We start from the raw sequence: 16475 nt of genomic DNA, 5'->3' as shown, positions 1-16475 counted from the left end.
AATAGTGGTTACTCTTGGTCATGCTGGGGACAGAAAAAACTGCAGGGGGAGCTTCTGAGTGCTAGTCATGTTGTTGAGTTTTTTGTTGTTATATATTTTTTTAAACTAAGTGATGGTTGAGTAGGTGAGTGTTGTTCAATTTGTGAAAATTCAGTAAGCTAAACATTCATGGCATGGTACTTTTCTATGTATATATTATACTGAAATAAATCTTTAAAAATGTTTATTTTAAAAAATGCAATCAAGTACAGGTAGCTAAATCCAGTAAGCATGATAAGTGACTTTGTAACTATTCTCTTTTATGGCTACCATCATATTATCCATTTGTCACCTTTCAACATTCCACTGGTATTTATTGGTGCTCATATTTCCAGGCATGGATTCATAGTGGAAGTCAGCAAAGAAAATGTATACTTGCTAGAAGAAAGAGGAGCAAGATATATGTATATGGAAACCAACATATCTGCCTAAAGTAGTGATATACTGTAGATATTTTTAAATGAGAATAAAATGTGTTATTATTAGAAATGACTTCACTGAGGGAATAACCACATGGCTTTAGAAAGTGAATGAGGTAAGATACAGAAACAACATAAGCCACTTAGATATGAGCTCTGGCCTCAGTGTACAGCAGTACATCTTTTAAATTCTTGACTTGTCTAATTGATAATTTTATGTCTCAAAAGTAAAGGATTCAGTGAAGGTATCTACTATTTTCTATCACATTTTGACTCATCAGGAAAGAAGTGTCTGGTGATGTATCCTGATTAGATACAATTCTGACTTCTCATTAATCAGATCATGGAGAACTTGGTAACAATTATTTAGGAATCCGAGGGAAAGTTGTCCAGATGACTTCATCAATTTACTCTGGTTAGCAGAAACTACAATGCAATTCTATCAAACTTGATCCTGATTTCTTTTTTTCTTCTTCTTTTTTGTTTTTCACCCACTGGGTTCAAGCAATTCTCCCACCTCAGCCTCCCAAGTACTTGGGATTACAGGCATGCGCCACCATGCCCAGCTAATTTTTGTATTTTTAGTGGAGATAGGATTTCACCATGTTGGCCAGGCTGGTCTCAAACACCTGACCTCAAGTCATCCGCCTGCCTCAGCCTCCTAAAGTGTTGGGATTACAGGCGTGAGCCACCGTGCCCAGCCCTGATTTCTTTCTGATACCAATTTTACCAATTTGCTCTGAAGCATCAAAGGTAAGGACTTTGGAAATGAGTCAAGAATATGAACCAAATACTTGGAGTTGTCCAACAAAGTAAAATAACTTCGCAACCTTTCTGAAATACTTTCATAAGTATATTCTCCCTTGTTTGTTTTCCTACCTTCTCTATTTTCTGTTTCCTTAAAGTCTTATGATAAATTAGCTTTCTACTGGAAATAAATAAATGAATGGATACAAAATACCAAAATGTAACCTGATTATAATTTTATGTGTTTTTATAATTCCTGGAATGCTTTTCTTTTAATAGGATTCTCTTAGAAGTGGAAAATCAAAACTCTAGATAGTCCCAACGTAGTCCATTTTTAATGGTGAAATTTCAGGCACTTCAATAGAGTAAGGGAGAAGATGTATTGAACAGAAGACCTTCTGAGTGCTCTTAACGTCTTACTGTATAATTAGGAACCTACTTTGCTCATGCAGAAGACCACCACTTACCCTCGAATACTTGCACAGCGCATCGGCTCTGGAGTTCTGAAATGGGAATGATGGCTCCCACTGGCTGGAGAATGCCAATGAAGCTAGGTTAGTGTTGGCTTCTCCAGCTGGGGAGGGAACATAAATTTAAACACGGAGTACTGGCTGTCCAGGATTGCTGAGTCATCCTCCAAGAAAGGGAAAGACAAGGTGTAGCCTGTAGCAAAGATGACAGCATCAATGTTCTTTTCAGTGCCATCCTCAAAGAAGGCTGATGTTGTGGTGAACTCTCTCATGTCTGGTTTCATCAGGACTCTTCCAGAAATTATGTGGTTAGGCAGATCATCATTCACAGTAGCCTGATGGCTGAGAAATCTGCATGGCAAAGAGTGTAACATCAAGAAGGGAGTATAAATTTTCTTCATAAACAAGTTTTGGTTGGCAAATGCTCAGGAAATCACCATAGTATTTTAACAATTTTTTATATTCTATATTGGCATTCCTGAAAAGGAGATACAGTTTATTGCTTACAAACTTGATTTTCAGAGTCAGAACTAGACTAATAATGGTCCTGTCACTTACTAGTTGTGAGACCTTGGAAAAGTCTCATAACATTTCAGTCTCAGTTTCCTAATCTGTAAAATGATAATAATAACAATCAGATCAGATTGTGATAATCAGGTGATAATACACCCAATTATTTTTAGCTAAATATACTTTTAGCTAATAGTATTTTTTTCCAGGAATAAAGCTTTTTGATTCTTAACAGATATAGTTTCACTCAATATAATGTAAATATTAACACCAGTTGGTCATTAATATTTTTCAAGGGCCTACAAGGTGCAACTGTGTGATTTTAAGAGTGAATCTTCATTGGAAAAACTTATGTTCAGTGACACACAGATCTTTGGTAATTGTAATTTAGTACTTGAGCTATAATTTAGTAGCAAGAAGTCATATTTTCAGTTCCACTTTACTATTAATACACATCTTTCATCTTCTGAATACTTTTTCCTCAGGAAAGAACCTGGAGTCACACATCCAACATCAGTTAGTCATAACGCTATGTATGCTTTTTCTTCCAGATACTTCTTAATACTATTTTTTTTATTTTCAGTGCTTTAGTTCAAGCTTTTATCTTTTGCCTGGGGTGTTTTTAAATTTTTTAAATAAAGGAAGCTGTGTAGGGAGAAAAGGGAAGAGGACCAAGAATAGATACATGGATAACACCAAGTTTTGAGGGACAAGTGGGGAAAGGGGAGCAAGAAAGAAAATAGAGGAAAAGTGGTAACAGAGATGAAAGAACAAGAAGAGGAAGACAGGGGATGAGAGGACTGGATAAGGTCAGAGAACTGGCTAGCATGTAGTGGGATGAGAGTGTAAAAGGAAGAGGCTGCAATCACAGAATGGGCCCTGGAATGACATCCGGATACACTGTAGTTCTGGGTGATAAGTTCCAGGATGGCCATGGGTGTGGTTGACTCAAGTGAAGTGGACACGAGACCAGTGCAGTTGGGGAAGTCGAGGGGCTGCACTGCATGGGTATTGAGTAGTCATACATACAGATATTGAAATTGTCCTGGTTGACAATAGGTTTGAGGGTGACAGTCATGCCCTCCAGAGGAATCAAAGTTTTCAATCTGGGAGTGAAGAGGAAGTGGTTAACAGATGATAGTGAAAGAGGAAATAGAGGGTGGCATAGTTAGATGGTGTGAGTCTCAAATAAAACAAGTATTAAAGTTTGTCTCTACTCCCCTACTCCCAACCCCCCACATTGTTTTCTCAGTAGAACCTTAGTAGAATGACCTTAAGTTACTAGTAGGAAGGAAATAACTTGAATATTCTCTATCCAACTAAATGCTACCAAATATTAGAATGGTACCCTTTCATTCTTATTTCTTAAATATAGCTTATAGATTCTGCTTGGTCTAGTAGCTTTGAAATACTGTTTATTTGTTTTAAATCCTAGGCCTTATCTGTGTTGAGGCTGTAGCCCATAATTGTCATGGTTAAGCCTTGCATTTCATTTATTTTCTACCCATCTGTTGATCATGAATGTGGGGAAAATTTTTTCCATTATTCTATTATAATGAGTGAAGAGTGTGATATCAAGGGGATTCCCATTATCCCAAACCCGGTTCCATATCCATGCACCTTGTCTTGTACTGAGGAAAACCTGCAGGAGAGAAGTCGTTGCCAAATTACCATTTTATTTCTTATTACTGTTATCTCAGAAGCTCAGATGCATTTTTTTCTAAACTGTCAAGGGAATATAATTAACTTCTCATATCATCTCATCCCCCCTCCCTGATTCTCTTCCTCCTCTTTCACTCTATACATTTCTCAGGTCCAATCATTTAAAGTCATTTTAATTCTTTTATTGTTTTTTCTGTTTCCATTTTAATGTTCACTTACAGCTGTGCTAGATATCTGGAATCTCTTAGGTCTCACAATGTGGAAAAAAAGTTAACATGAATAATTTATTATGTTGAGAGCTACAAGTTAGTATCCAGGTTCCTTCTCCTTTCTATCATTCTACAATTTAGACTGATGGAAAAATATATGGATGCAAAGACTGAGATAACAACAAAAATACAGGCTGGGCATGGTGGCTCATGCCTGTAATCTTAGTGCTTTGGGAGGCTGAGGCAGTAGGATCGCCTGAGCCCAGGAGTTCAAGATTGCAGTGAGCTACAATAGTGCCACTGCATTCTAGCCTGGGTGACAGAGAGAGACCATGCCTTTATTAGGAAAACAAACAAACAAACACCAACAACAAAACATGCACACACACACACACACACACACAAATCAAAAATGCAATGTAAAAATGCACATCTTGAATTTTTTCACATTTACAAATGGAAAATTTAACGTGAAAAGTATGAAGTCCATGAAAAATAGAGGATACATTTTAAAAATTCTCTATTTTGAATTATTTAACTGAGATTTTAAAAAGGCTACTGAGTTTTTAATGAAAATAAAATCACTAGCTTGTGAGGTCTTTAATCTCAGAGATTATGACTCATTTATCATTATATCTTACATACAATGCTTGGCAGGGGGTAAGATGGCACTCAGAATGATTGATTGAATTTCATCCATACAGAAGACTTTAAGTAGTGGAAATCTTGTGTCTTCTTCCTGGAAATCCTAAATCAGAAATGAAAATTAATTTTGAGTTTTGAAAAGTAATCTCTCTATGCTCTTTAGGGGTCAATAACATTCCCTGCAGAGAAGAAAATAGCTAATTTTTTTCCTACTCTTCATTTTTTTCAGTCAGTGGGAGCCCACAGAATTTCCACCCTATTCCTTGCTCTTGTATCAGCAGTGTATTTTTACTCATGCTTGTGTATATATTTCTATGTTTAAACGTTATTTCCAGTATGAAAATTTTGGCATTTTCTGTAAAATTCATTTCAGTTTGAAAGTTTCCATCTCTCTAGCGTAGCTACACCTCGATAACTCCCGTTATCTGACTCTAGTTTGATTGCTATCTTCCATAATTTCAGTGCATTATGGTATGGGAGGGTACCATTATTTTGGTTTTCTACATTCTTTCACTCATGGTGAAAAGTCAGAAGAAGAAAGTGCTTTTACCAGGTTGGAGAGCAGCAGTCAAGGTTGGGGCTAACAAAAGCCTAGACTCACCATGGGCCATGCTTTGCAGATATCAAGGTTACACCAAGAACAGAATCAGTTTAGAATGTCAAACCTGTTCAGCAACATGACTGATCTCGCCAGCCACATCTGCTCCAGAATCCTCAATGCTGACCACAACCACTCTCTTCCCCACAAAATAGTCGAGATGCTTGTATGCCTAGGTGTGGAGATATGGACCTTGGAAGTTCTCGATCCCTATAAGGAAAGGGTAGAATCTCTTAAATCACAAACAGAAATAGGAAAGACTGTTTTAGAAAATTTATTTCTAAACTTGAAGTATATGTTACTTAAATCCCTTTCTTTGTTGGTTGGTCAGTTGCTGCCAATGTTTCAAAATGAGATTATCCAAGGAATGAAATATCCAGTGGCAGCAATGATATGCCTAAGACAAAAATCAGAGCATATTAATGTTTCCTTTCAAAAATCCAGCTTTAAATTTGCTCAATATGATGACTTGTCACTTTAGGAGGTATTACCTTTTCCTTACTCTCTACTGATTCATGAGGAACTGTTGTTCTATTTTTATGACTCCATAAATTGATTTAAAAAATATGTAAAGATACTTAGCAATATAGAGCAGTGTTGTCTAAAAGAAATATAATTCAACCACATATGCAATTTTAAATTTTCTAGTAGTAATATGAAAAAAGTAGAAAAAAGATATTAACTTTAATAATATATTTTATTTAACCCAACAAAATCTAAGATGTTATCAGTATATAATTGATATACAAAGGTTCTTTTAATTTTTAATTTTTTATACTTTATTATCAATAAATTGTTTTAGGCAGGTGAGTTCTTACATACTCCTTAGTGGATTCGGACTTCCATGGCCATTGTCCTGCTTACAAAGGTATTATTGACATATTTTTTACATTTTTACTATGTCTTCAAAAGCTGGTGTGTATTTTACATTGAAATTACATCTCAATTCCTGTTAGCCACATTGCAAATGCTCAGTAGCAACATCTTGCTAGCAGTGACTAAGATGGTGCAAATCTAGAGTAACAGAAATTTCAAAACATCTTTAAAAAATTTGGCTGGGCCTGGTGGCTCACACCTATTATCCCAGCACTTTGAGAGGCTGAGGCGGGCGGATCATGAGGTCAGGGGTTCGAGACCAGCCTGGCCAACATGGTGAAACCCCGTCTCTACTAAAAATACAAAAATTAGCCAGGCATAGTGGCATGTACCTGTAATCCCAGCTACTCAGGAGGCTGAGGCGGGAGAATCGCTTGAACCCAGGAGGTGGAGGTTGCAGTGAGCTGAGATGGCGCCATTGTACTCCAGCCTGGGCAACAGAGAGAGACTCCAACTCAAGGAAAAAAAAAGTATTATTTTTCAAAAATATTAAATAGTATTTCAAAAATAAAAAGTAAAATTTCAAAAATATTAAATAAAAAATTGTCACATATTTTATCATTCATTGAGTCTTGTAATGACCTCCAAAATATTTCCTGAATTTTTCTCCTCCTTTTGCGTCCTACTACCATTACTTTACTAGAGGCTTTCACCATCTCTTTAATGGACTATTAAAAAACCCTCTTTATTGATGTTCCTGCTTTGTCCCCTTCTTCCGTATCAATTAATATTCCACATCACTGCAAGACTGATCTTTACAAAATAAAAGTATAATCATGTACCTGCCCCTCCAAACATATAAACACACACACAGACACACACACACACACACTTCAATGGTCTTTTATTGACTCCTACATATCTCTCCCTGCACACTCACCTGCTTCAGGAACATCAAGTGAGTGTCGTTCCCTGAGCTCCTGCGACTATTTCACATGCTATTGCTTTTCTTGTATGACTTCCTCTTACAGGAATGCCTGCTCCCAGACCTTGGTTTTCCTGAGGAACTCTTAGTTTCTAGTTCAAGTGTTATTTCTATTATCAGATCTTTCCTGGCTATTCCAGAAAGTTGCTACACCCTCTTTTTTTTAATCCCCACTGTACCATGTAAACAGTTCTGTCCAATGCTGTAATACTGCAGATATTACAATTCTTAGAATGCAAAGATTTTTCTTGTACACTCATCAGTTAAACACCAGGGAAATCCTTTAAGGGCAAACACTTTTAATTGTAATAGCCACTGCAAGTCATGATCCCATCAAAGACATAGGATTTCTGCTTCCCATCGGTTTCTACCACAACATCCCACTGGCCAGAGGATGAAAAATCTGGGTGCTTCCTCACTCTGCACACCTTTGACTGGGAATAAAGAAACAAAGACAGCCTTGGTTTCAGAGTATTGTTCTCAGTCTTCCACTTTTTTTCCCCCCAATTCTGTGTCTTAACAAATAAAATAGGCGGTGCCTTTTATATTCAGAGTTTCTAGATCTTTAGGAATTTTGTTCACATAAATGTCCTAAAATGATCCTTTCCAGACATCAAGGTACCTTAGAGAAAAAAACACATTAATTTTTCCCTATAACTTATATTCTCTATTTAATAAAATTAATTGAAAACTAGATTTTAGGTTCAAATAATGAGACAATGCTTTTCCTCTGCTGGGAAAACTAATATTAGATTCACTAATCTTGAGACTAATAGAAGACATGCTATTTTTCTCTGAATTGTAATGGAAAATGCAAATTGAAAATACGCCTTAGCTTTCTCTGGCTTACACAAGCTTTGCCTTCAACAATCTGTAGGTGATGAGCATACTTTTCATTCCTTACCAGAAACTGGATGTGCTTCATGAGGTGAAAGTGCCTGGTGTACATCCTGAGATACTCCATCATTTTGGAATTGTGCAAATAGTTGGGATAATGATCAGGGAAAGGGTAGTCGCTGAAGGCTGTCGTCTCCTTTGAAGCGTTGAAGATCATAGATTTGTATATCCCAGGCCTTCCACTTTCAGGTGTTTCCTGTGGGAAACAACAAACCCATGGCTTTCAGGATTCAGTAGCACAACAAAGAATGGTTAGGTATGATCAGACAGGTGGTTTTAGGCTTATTTTTTCCTTGAAAAAATGTACTTGACAGTCAGTTTACTGTAATATTGCCCAACAGGAACAACGGAGGCATTGGACTCATTTCTCTACAAAGAGAACTCTTTACAGTTCAGAATTTTGCTTATAATGACAGACCTAAATTAATACCAGTAATTACATTATAACTTAACAGGAGGAAGATTATAGATGCTAAAATGCAGCATAACAAACAAAATTAAAACAGACAAAAAGGGGTTGAGAAGAGAAACTTCCAAAGGGTAAAAAAGACACCACAACTAAAAGAATTTGGATTAAGAGAAGCCCCTGGAAAAAAGCATTATGAAAGTTGAGAGAAAAAAAAATCATGCAAATGTGATGTATATTAAAATGTTAAGGGATAGGCCGGCGCGGTGGCTCACGCCTGTAATCCCAGCACTTTGGGAGGCCGAGGAGGGCGGATCATGAGATCAGGAGATAGAGACCACGGTGAAACCACGTCTCTACTAAAAATACAAAAAATTAGCCGGGCGTGGTGGCAGGCGCCTGTAGTCCCAGCTAATTGGGAGGCTGAGGCAGGAGAATGGCGTGAAGCCGGAAGGCAGAGCTTGCAGTGAGCCGAGATTGCGCCGCTGCACTCCAGCCTGGAGAGACAGAGCGAGACTCCATCTCAAAAAAACAAAAAAAAAACAAAAAAAAAGAAAAAAGTTAAGGGTTAAAAACAAAAAGTATTAGAAAAATATGTTGAATACTTAAGAGAAAAAAGGCTGCTTTTTTAAAAAAATGAATTATACTTCAAGAAGACTTTTTTTTTACTTATACTTTCTATTTTTATTATTATACTTTAAGTTCTAGGGTACATGTGCACAATGTGCAGGTTTGATACATAGGTATACATATTCCGTGTTGGTGTGCTGCACCCATTAACTCGTCATTTACATTAGGTATTTATCCTAATGCTATCCCTCCCCCAGCCCCCCACCCCCGACAGGCCCTGGTGTGTGATGTTCCTTGCCCTGTGTCCAAGTGTTCTCATTGATCAATTCCCACCTATGAGTGAGAACATGTGGTGGTTGGTTTTCTGTCCTTGTGATAGTTTGCTGAGAATGATGGTTTCCAGCTTCATCCATGTCCCTGCAAAGTACATGAACTCATCCCTTTTTATGGCTGCATAGTATTCCATAGTGTATATGTGCCACATTTTCTTAATCCAGGCTATCATTGATGGACATTTGGGTTGGTTCCAAGTCTTTGTTATTGTGAATAGTACTGCAATAAACATACATGTGCATGTGTCTTTATAGTAGCATGATTTATAATCCTTTGGGTATATACCCAGTAATGGGATTGCTGGGTCAAATGGTATTTCTAGTTCTAGATCCTTGAGGAATCACCACACTGTCTTCCACAATGGCTGAACTAATTTACACTCCCACCAACAGTGTAAAAGCATTCCTATTTCTCTACATCCTCTCTGGCATCTGTTGTTTCCTGATTTTTTAATGGTAGCCATTCTAACTGGTGTGAGATGGTATCTCATTGTGGTTTTGATTTGCATTTCTCTGATGACCATTGATGATGAGCATTTTTTCATGTGTCTGTTGGCTGCATAAATGATGAAGACATTATTATTATTATTATTTTTAATTATACTTTACGTTTTAGGGTACATGTGCACAACGTGCAGGTTTGTTACATATGCATACATGTGCCATGTTGGTGTGCTGCACCCATTAACTCATCACTTACATTGGGTATATCTCCTAATGCTATCCCTCCCCCCTTCCCCCACCCCACGATGGGCCCCAGTGTGTGATGTTCCCCACCCTGTGTCCAAGTGTTCTCATTGTTCAATTCCCACCTATGAGTGAGAACACCCGGTGTTTGGTTTTCTGTCCTTGCAATAGTTTGCTCAGAATGATGGTTTCCAGCTTCATCCATGTCCCTACAAAGACATGAACTCATCCTTTTTTATGGCTGCATAGTATTCCATGGTGTATATGTTCCACATTTTCTTAATCCAGTCTATCATTGTTGGACATTTGGGTTGGTTCCAAGTCTTTGCTATTGTGAATAGTGCCACAATAAACATACGTGTGCATGTGTCTTTATAGCAGCATGATTTGTAATCCTTTGGGTATATACCCAGTAAGGGGATGGCTGGGTCAAATGGCATTTCTAGTTCTAGATCCTCGAGGAATCACCACATTGTCTAGTTTACAGTCCCACCAACAGTGTAAAAGTGTTCTTATTTCTCCACATCCTCTCCAGCACCTGTTGTTTCCTCACTTTTTAATAATCACCATTCTAACTGGTGTGAGATGGTATCTCATTGTGGTTTTGATTTGCATTTCTCTGATGGCCAGTGATGATGAGCATTTTTTCATGTGTCTGTTGGCTGCATAAATGGAAGACATTATTTTTAAGAGTACGCTTACTTCTATTCATCTGGGATACTATCCATGATATAAAACCTATTGCTTTAAGCTATGCATGAGTATAATCATGATTACACACACCTTTCTTGGTACAGGTAGTTTCTTCGGCATCCATTAAACAACACAAAGCAACATAAAGAGGATGATTCTATGGTAGAGAGGAAAAAGTCAGAACCAGAATTCAGATCTTAAGTCTTATTACCAAGTGTGCTAGAGGCTGGAAAACTATAGAGAATTTCTGAGTTTTAGCTTTCTCATCTGTAAAATTTGCATACTGATACCCTAAGTATTCCATATGGGGTTGTTGGGGGGATAAAAGTTAATAGGATTGTGTAAGCACTTCAAAAAATTTCAGGTTCATATGAATGTAAGATATCACTACTTTGAAAAGAACACTTAAAGAATATCTAAGTTATACGTCATCAGAGTTCTGTTTCCTAGTTAGAAAGAAAACACTTCTCTCATAGTATACAGATACATCAGAGTTTATGAGAATGTTTATTAATTACCTCGTATCTCCACAGTCCTCCAATCTCATTGCTTTTTTCAAAACATACAGGCTCGAGTCCCTCCTCCAAGCAGCTCTTAATGGCATCTAATCCGCTGACCCCAGCACCAATCACTGCATTTTTTTTTCTCATGCAAGGTCTGTTGAATAAAGAAGACATTCAGTTATGTTTTGGCAGACAAGATCAAGGTTTATTGCCATGTCAGTGTCCCCTTTTATTTTAGCATAATCATCATTTCCCTCGATAGAGGTTTGCTTGCTTCTAGTCTAGCTTATATTATTTTATTTTGGAATACATATATTTAGAGAACAGGCCTTTGGTCATTTTATTAGAATCATAAAATATTTGCCTCATTTAATCAAGACAAAATTTGCATGAATTTCAGCTGATTCAAAATCTTTTATTGTAGCTATATCTCAGATTTTTACACTCTATTAAATTTTATTAGAATATAATTTTTATATAATAAAGGCAACTCTAGTATAGCCTGCTTACTAATAACTAAAAAAATGCTCAAGGTTGGCCAGAAATGTACATAGGAATACTATGTTGGGTCCTAATTCGAAATCAGAATAGAAGCTGGCCTCTATAAGGCATTACTCTATTTCAACCTAATTAAGTCAGATTAATTATATTTTATCACTGCTGTCCTGAATGTATGTCCTGAATGTCTGTATGGCAGTCCAGAAACAGAAAATATCAGACTTGTTAAACAACAATTTCTCTTGTCTTCCCATTTAGTATATTGACAGAAATATTTTAGGGCTCTTGGTTTTGATGGCTGTAGTGAGCAGTTTCTTAGAGAGTGTACTCATTTCTTGTTGTGTCAAAGCTAAACATCTCTACCTGGCTTTCAAGGCTCTTGGTAAATCTGGATTCACCCTATTACTTGATCTTAGTGCTCATTCTTTGACATCACCCTGCCATCTTGCATGTCATCCTTATACTACCCAACACAATGTGACCTTTTTATTTGAGTATCTTCCTGCCTGTTATTCGTTTTGTTCAGAAAGTCTTTTCCATATATACCCAATTACGTCTATTTATCAAGACTCATTTCTGTCAATTGAGAGAAATGCTGTTGAAGCTCAGGTGTTTTATTGCCTCTTTGAAGTTTTTCTTGACAATTTTAACTCTTTTTGACCTTCTTTTACCCATTCATACTTGGCAGTACACAATTTAAAACTTCACTACAGTTTTCTATAATATTGCATTATTTCGGGTGTGCCATATTTCTTCTTCAGCTTGATAGTGATGTTGTGAAGATAAGGACATCATCATTCTCTTCGAGTCCTCATCATAGTGCCAAAGGATAGCACAGGAACTCAATGACAGAGACATGGGCTTAGTACTCATAAGGTCAAGCCCTTCTTAATTCAGTCTTGTTTTGATGAGGGGATTCCTGCCTTAGCCCCCAGGAGGGGTGCATTTTGGGGGTATTACTTCTGGTTTTTCCTTCCTCTGTACCCTAGTTCACTTCTCTTAGTGGGAGGACGAATGGCTTCTCTGATGGACAAGGTGGCAGGATTTGCTGTCTATTGGATGACCTGAAGCAAGCCTGAAGCACTGCCCCCTCTCACTTAGCCTCTTTCTTCTGTCCTTCAGGGTGTGAAGTATACTTGTGGTCCTCCATGCATCTGGCTAGAGATGAGTGCTTTGAAGAATTTATTCTTCCAGGCAGCTTCCAAAGTCTAGGTTTGGGGAGAAGAAATAGGAATCTTATTCTAGTTATGGGGATGAGTCACATTCTCCAATCCAGCTTGATTGGGAAGACCTTGTCCTTTTGGCAATAAAACCGATGCTATATTTTAATGCTCACTTTTCTTCTGTGTCTATTTTGTACTTAGTTAGAAACAGTGAGAAATATACATTTATATTGCTTGTACCTCCACATCCATAGCAGTTTTACATGCATTTTCTTCAAGGAAGTTTTATTTTCTTTTCTAATGTAGATATTCTATGTTTATTTACAAACGGAGCTAATAAGTAATTTAATCGGTGTAAAACAAACTCCCACTGTCTTAAATTTTATATCCACTTGATATCTAGAACATTACCTATTCACATACAGTTATTATAGCTTATGAACTATTACAATGGACTCAGGAATGTTTTCCATTTTTTTCTATCCCACAGTTAATACATATTTGCAAATTTAGAAAATCATAAAATGTCAAATTAAAAGAAAAAATAAAAATAAAAATTGCTTATTTCATCAACTCAGAGATTATACAGTATATATAGTTTTAGATTTCATCTCTTTCTCTTTCTCTCTCTCTCTGTGTATACTTATTTGTATCTATCAATCTATATGTATTTTAAAATTTAATGTACTACTTATAGCATGTAACCTACTTTTTCATCTAACAGTTTTGTGAATATATTTCCATACACAGTTGACTTTCTGTAACCGTGGGTTCCACATCTGTGGATTCAATAAACAATGGATCAAAAATATTCAGAAAAAAACCCAACAAAAATAACAATACAAAAATAAAAAATAATACAAATAATACGCAATACAGTGCAACTATTTACATTGCCTTTACCCTGTATTAGGTATTATAAGCAATCTAGAGATGATTTAAAATATATGGAAGGATGTATATGGGAGGATGTGTGTAGGTTATACACAAATACTATGCCATTTTGTATAAGAAACTTGAGGCCGGGCGTGGTGGCTCACACCTGTAATCCCAGCACTTTGGGAGGCAGAGGCAGGTGGATCACGAGGTTAGGAGATCGAGACCATCCTGGCCAACACGGTGAAACCCCATCTCTACTAAAAATACATAAAATTAGCCGGGTGTGGTGGCAGGCACCTATAGTCCCAGCTACTTGGGAGGCTGAGGCAGGAGAATGGTGTGAACCCGGGAGGTGGACCTTGCAGTGAGCAGAGATCGTGCCACTGCACTCCAGCCTGGGTGACAGAGCGAGACTCCATCTCAAAAAAAAAAAGAAAAAAATAGGAAATTTGAGCATCCCAGGATTTTGGTATCTGAGAGAGTTCTGGAACCAATCTCCTGAGAATACTGAAGGACAACTGTATACAGGTACTAAAAAATATTTGTTAAATGAATTAATAAATTTTAATGGTGCAAAAATTTCCATTATATTGCACATTTTAGATTTTTCCAGATTTCTAGTATTATTAAAAAAATTCTTACTTTCCCAAAGCTTTTACTGAAATTTCAGGATATATTGTTGCTGTTGGAAGAGTGGTTAAACCAATGCAATAAAAGTTTATGGAGTAGAAGATGGAAGAAGGCAGAAAATTCAATAGACCCAGCTAACCACAGTCTTGTAATGTCACAAAGGAAGGGTCATCTAACTTACTGTCTTTGAGGAGGGGGAATCATCCCCTTCCCAGATTCTTGTGGGGTGCAGCTGTGCCATTGTTGATTTTCCTGTCCTGAGCCCCTCAGGTTGGGTTGCTAATGTACCAAGTGACTAAGTTGCAGGAGACAGTCTCCTCTCTTTGCTGGCCTCTTTTCTGTGATGCCCCCAAGGTGCCCTCTCAACTTCCTGAGGAACCTTGGTGTTGCCAGTGTGCCTTCCCATCCTCAGTCCTCTTTTATACTTAACCAGCCACTGGTTTTTTATGGAAGGGTAGGATCTTTGTACCTGCTCCTAGAAGAACCCAACCTTTTTTCTTGGAATGGGATCACAACAGATAAAGGTAGACTATTTCCACTTGACTGTTATAAATCATTTCTGAAGGAGATCTGTCTCCAATTCCCCGCTTTGGGGCTCTTTAGCATAAGAGAAGCTCCCTTGACAAATTTTGTCAGGAATCTGTGATGACAAAGCACTGCTCTCATTACCTAGGTGACGTGTTCCTTTCTTTGTTTATTAGGATTCTCCAGAGAGACAGAATCAATAGGAGATACACACATATAAAGATATAGGTATAGATAGGTATATGAGAGGATATTTATTAGGGGAATTGGCTCACCTGATAGTGGAGGCTGAGAAGTTCCACAACAGGCCATCTGCAAGATGGAGACCCTGGGATGCTGGTAGCATTGCTCAGTGTAAGTCTGAAAGCCTCAAAACCCAAGAAACCAATGGTATTACTCTCAGTTTGAGGCTGAAGGCCTGTGAACCTGGGTGAGGGTCTGCTGGTGTAAGTCCTGGAGTCCAGAAGCTGGAGAACCTGGACTTCTGATGTCCAAGGGCATAAGAAGTATGTTCTGGCTCTAGGAGAGAGAGAAAAGAATACGCCTTTCCTCTGCCTTTTGTTTTATTGGAGCTATAGGCAATTGGGTGGTGGCCAACCACACTGAGGGTGGATCTTCCCCACTCAGTCCACCGACTCATATACCATGCCTCTATGGAAACATTGCCACAGACACATCCAGAGACAATGCTTTATCAGCTCTCTAGGTGTTACTTAATTTAGTCAAGTTCACATTTGAAATCAACCATCACAAGTCCATCCATTGTCCAGTTGGCACCTATACAGATCTCCTTAAACCATATTTAATCTCCAAAAAGGCAATAAAAAAGGAATAGTTCAGCCTAACATGATACAACTATCCTGTGTACAGCCAAAAATGTCCTAATACCTTCACTAAAAGAGGAAGTAAAGTTCCTGGGTGTGTTTACTCTTCTTCTGATATCACATAACTTAAATACTATGAAGTAAAATTAACAGGGCTTAAATACTGATATAAAATCAATAAATCATATTATATCATAAAGAAAAAAGAGGAATGAAACAAAGATATTTGCTTAATATATGTATATATGCAATACATAAAAATGTATTCTTAACAAAAGAGGGAGAAAATACTCATGACAATTACAGTTCTCATTTCTGTAACTGGTCATGTGGTCATAGGTAGTATTTACAGCTATCTTCTGCAACCCATTCTGTATTTCCTTCGCCTTCAGCAAGCACCTCAGCTGGCCATGGTTCTTTACCTGGTAGGGTGGCCCAAACCTTTCCTGAAGAATTTGGACCATTTGTAGTCTTGCCTGGATTGGGTTGTTGTAATTTTCCTTTCACCTTAATCACAGGGCATAGTAATACTAAGAGATTCCCTAAGGGATCTCCTATATTCCAGACATACTCTTTCTTAACTCCAATTTCCTTTTGGAGGTTTGGGTCAATCACTCCAGCCAACACTTTAAATCTCTTTGTAGCCTGTTGGCTTAGAGACATGAGAAGCCAAAATGGCTGGGTGGCAGGCTTAACTTCCAGTTCAATGGAATCATTGTTGTATTTCTCTCCAGGGCTAAGATCTGTAGGCCAGCAGGGCATGAAGTT

General features: G+C 37.6%; 1 pseudogene, besides 1 other annotated feature; it reads right to left on the bottom strand.

Annotated features, from left to right (window-relative positions):
* Positions 1–16475, bottom strand: part of FMO10P (flavin containing dimethylaniline monoxygenase 10, pseudogene) — a 50211-nt pseudogene that overhangs the window by 22141 nt on the left and 11595 nt on the right.
* Positions 1167–2366: an enhancer, noted in NCBI's record as "MED14-independent group 3 enhancer chr1:166644091-166645290 (GRCh37/hg19 assembly coordinates)". NCBI's record gives its function as "activates an origin of replication core promoter dependent on BRD2, BRD4, P300/CBP and CDK7 cofactors, and independent of MED14, by STARR-seq in HCT116 cells {active_cell/tissue: HCT116}" and the evidence as "EXISTENCE:reporter gene assay evidence [ECO:0000049][PMID:35650434]".

Source organism: Homo sapiens, chromosome 1 (assembly GCF_000001405.40).
Source record: "Homo sapiens chromosome 1, GRCh38.p14 Primary Assembly".
NCBI classification, from domain to species: domain Eukaryota; kingdom Metazoa; phylum Chordata; class Mammalia; order Primates; family Hominidae; genus Homo; species Homo sapiens.
This window is presented reverse-complemented; position numbering and strand designations above follow the sequence as displayed.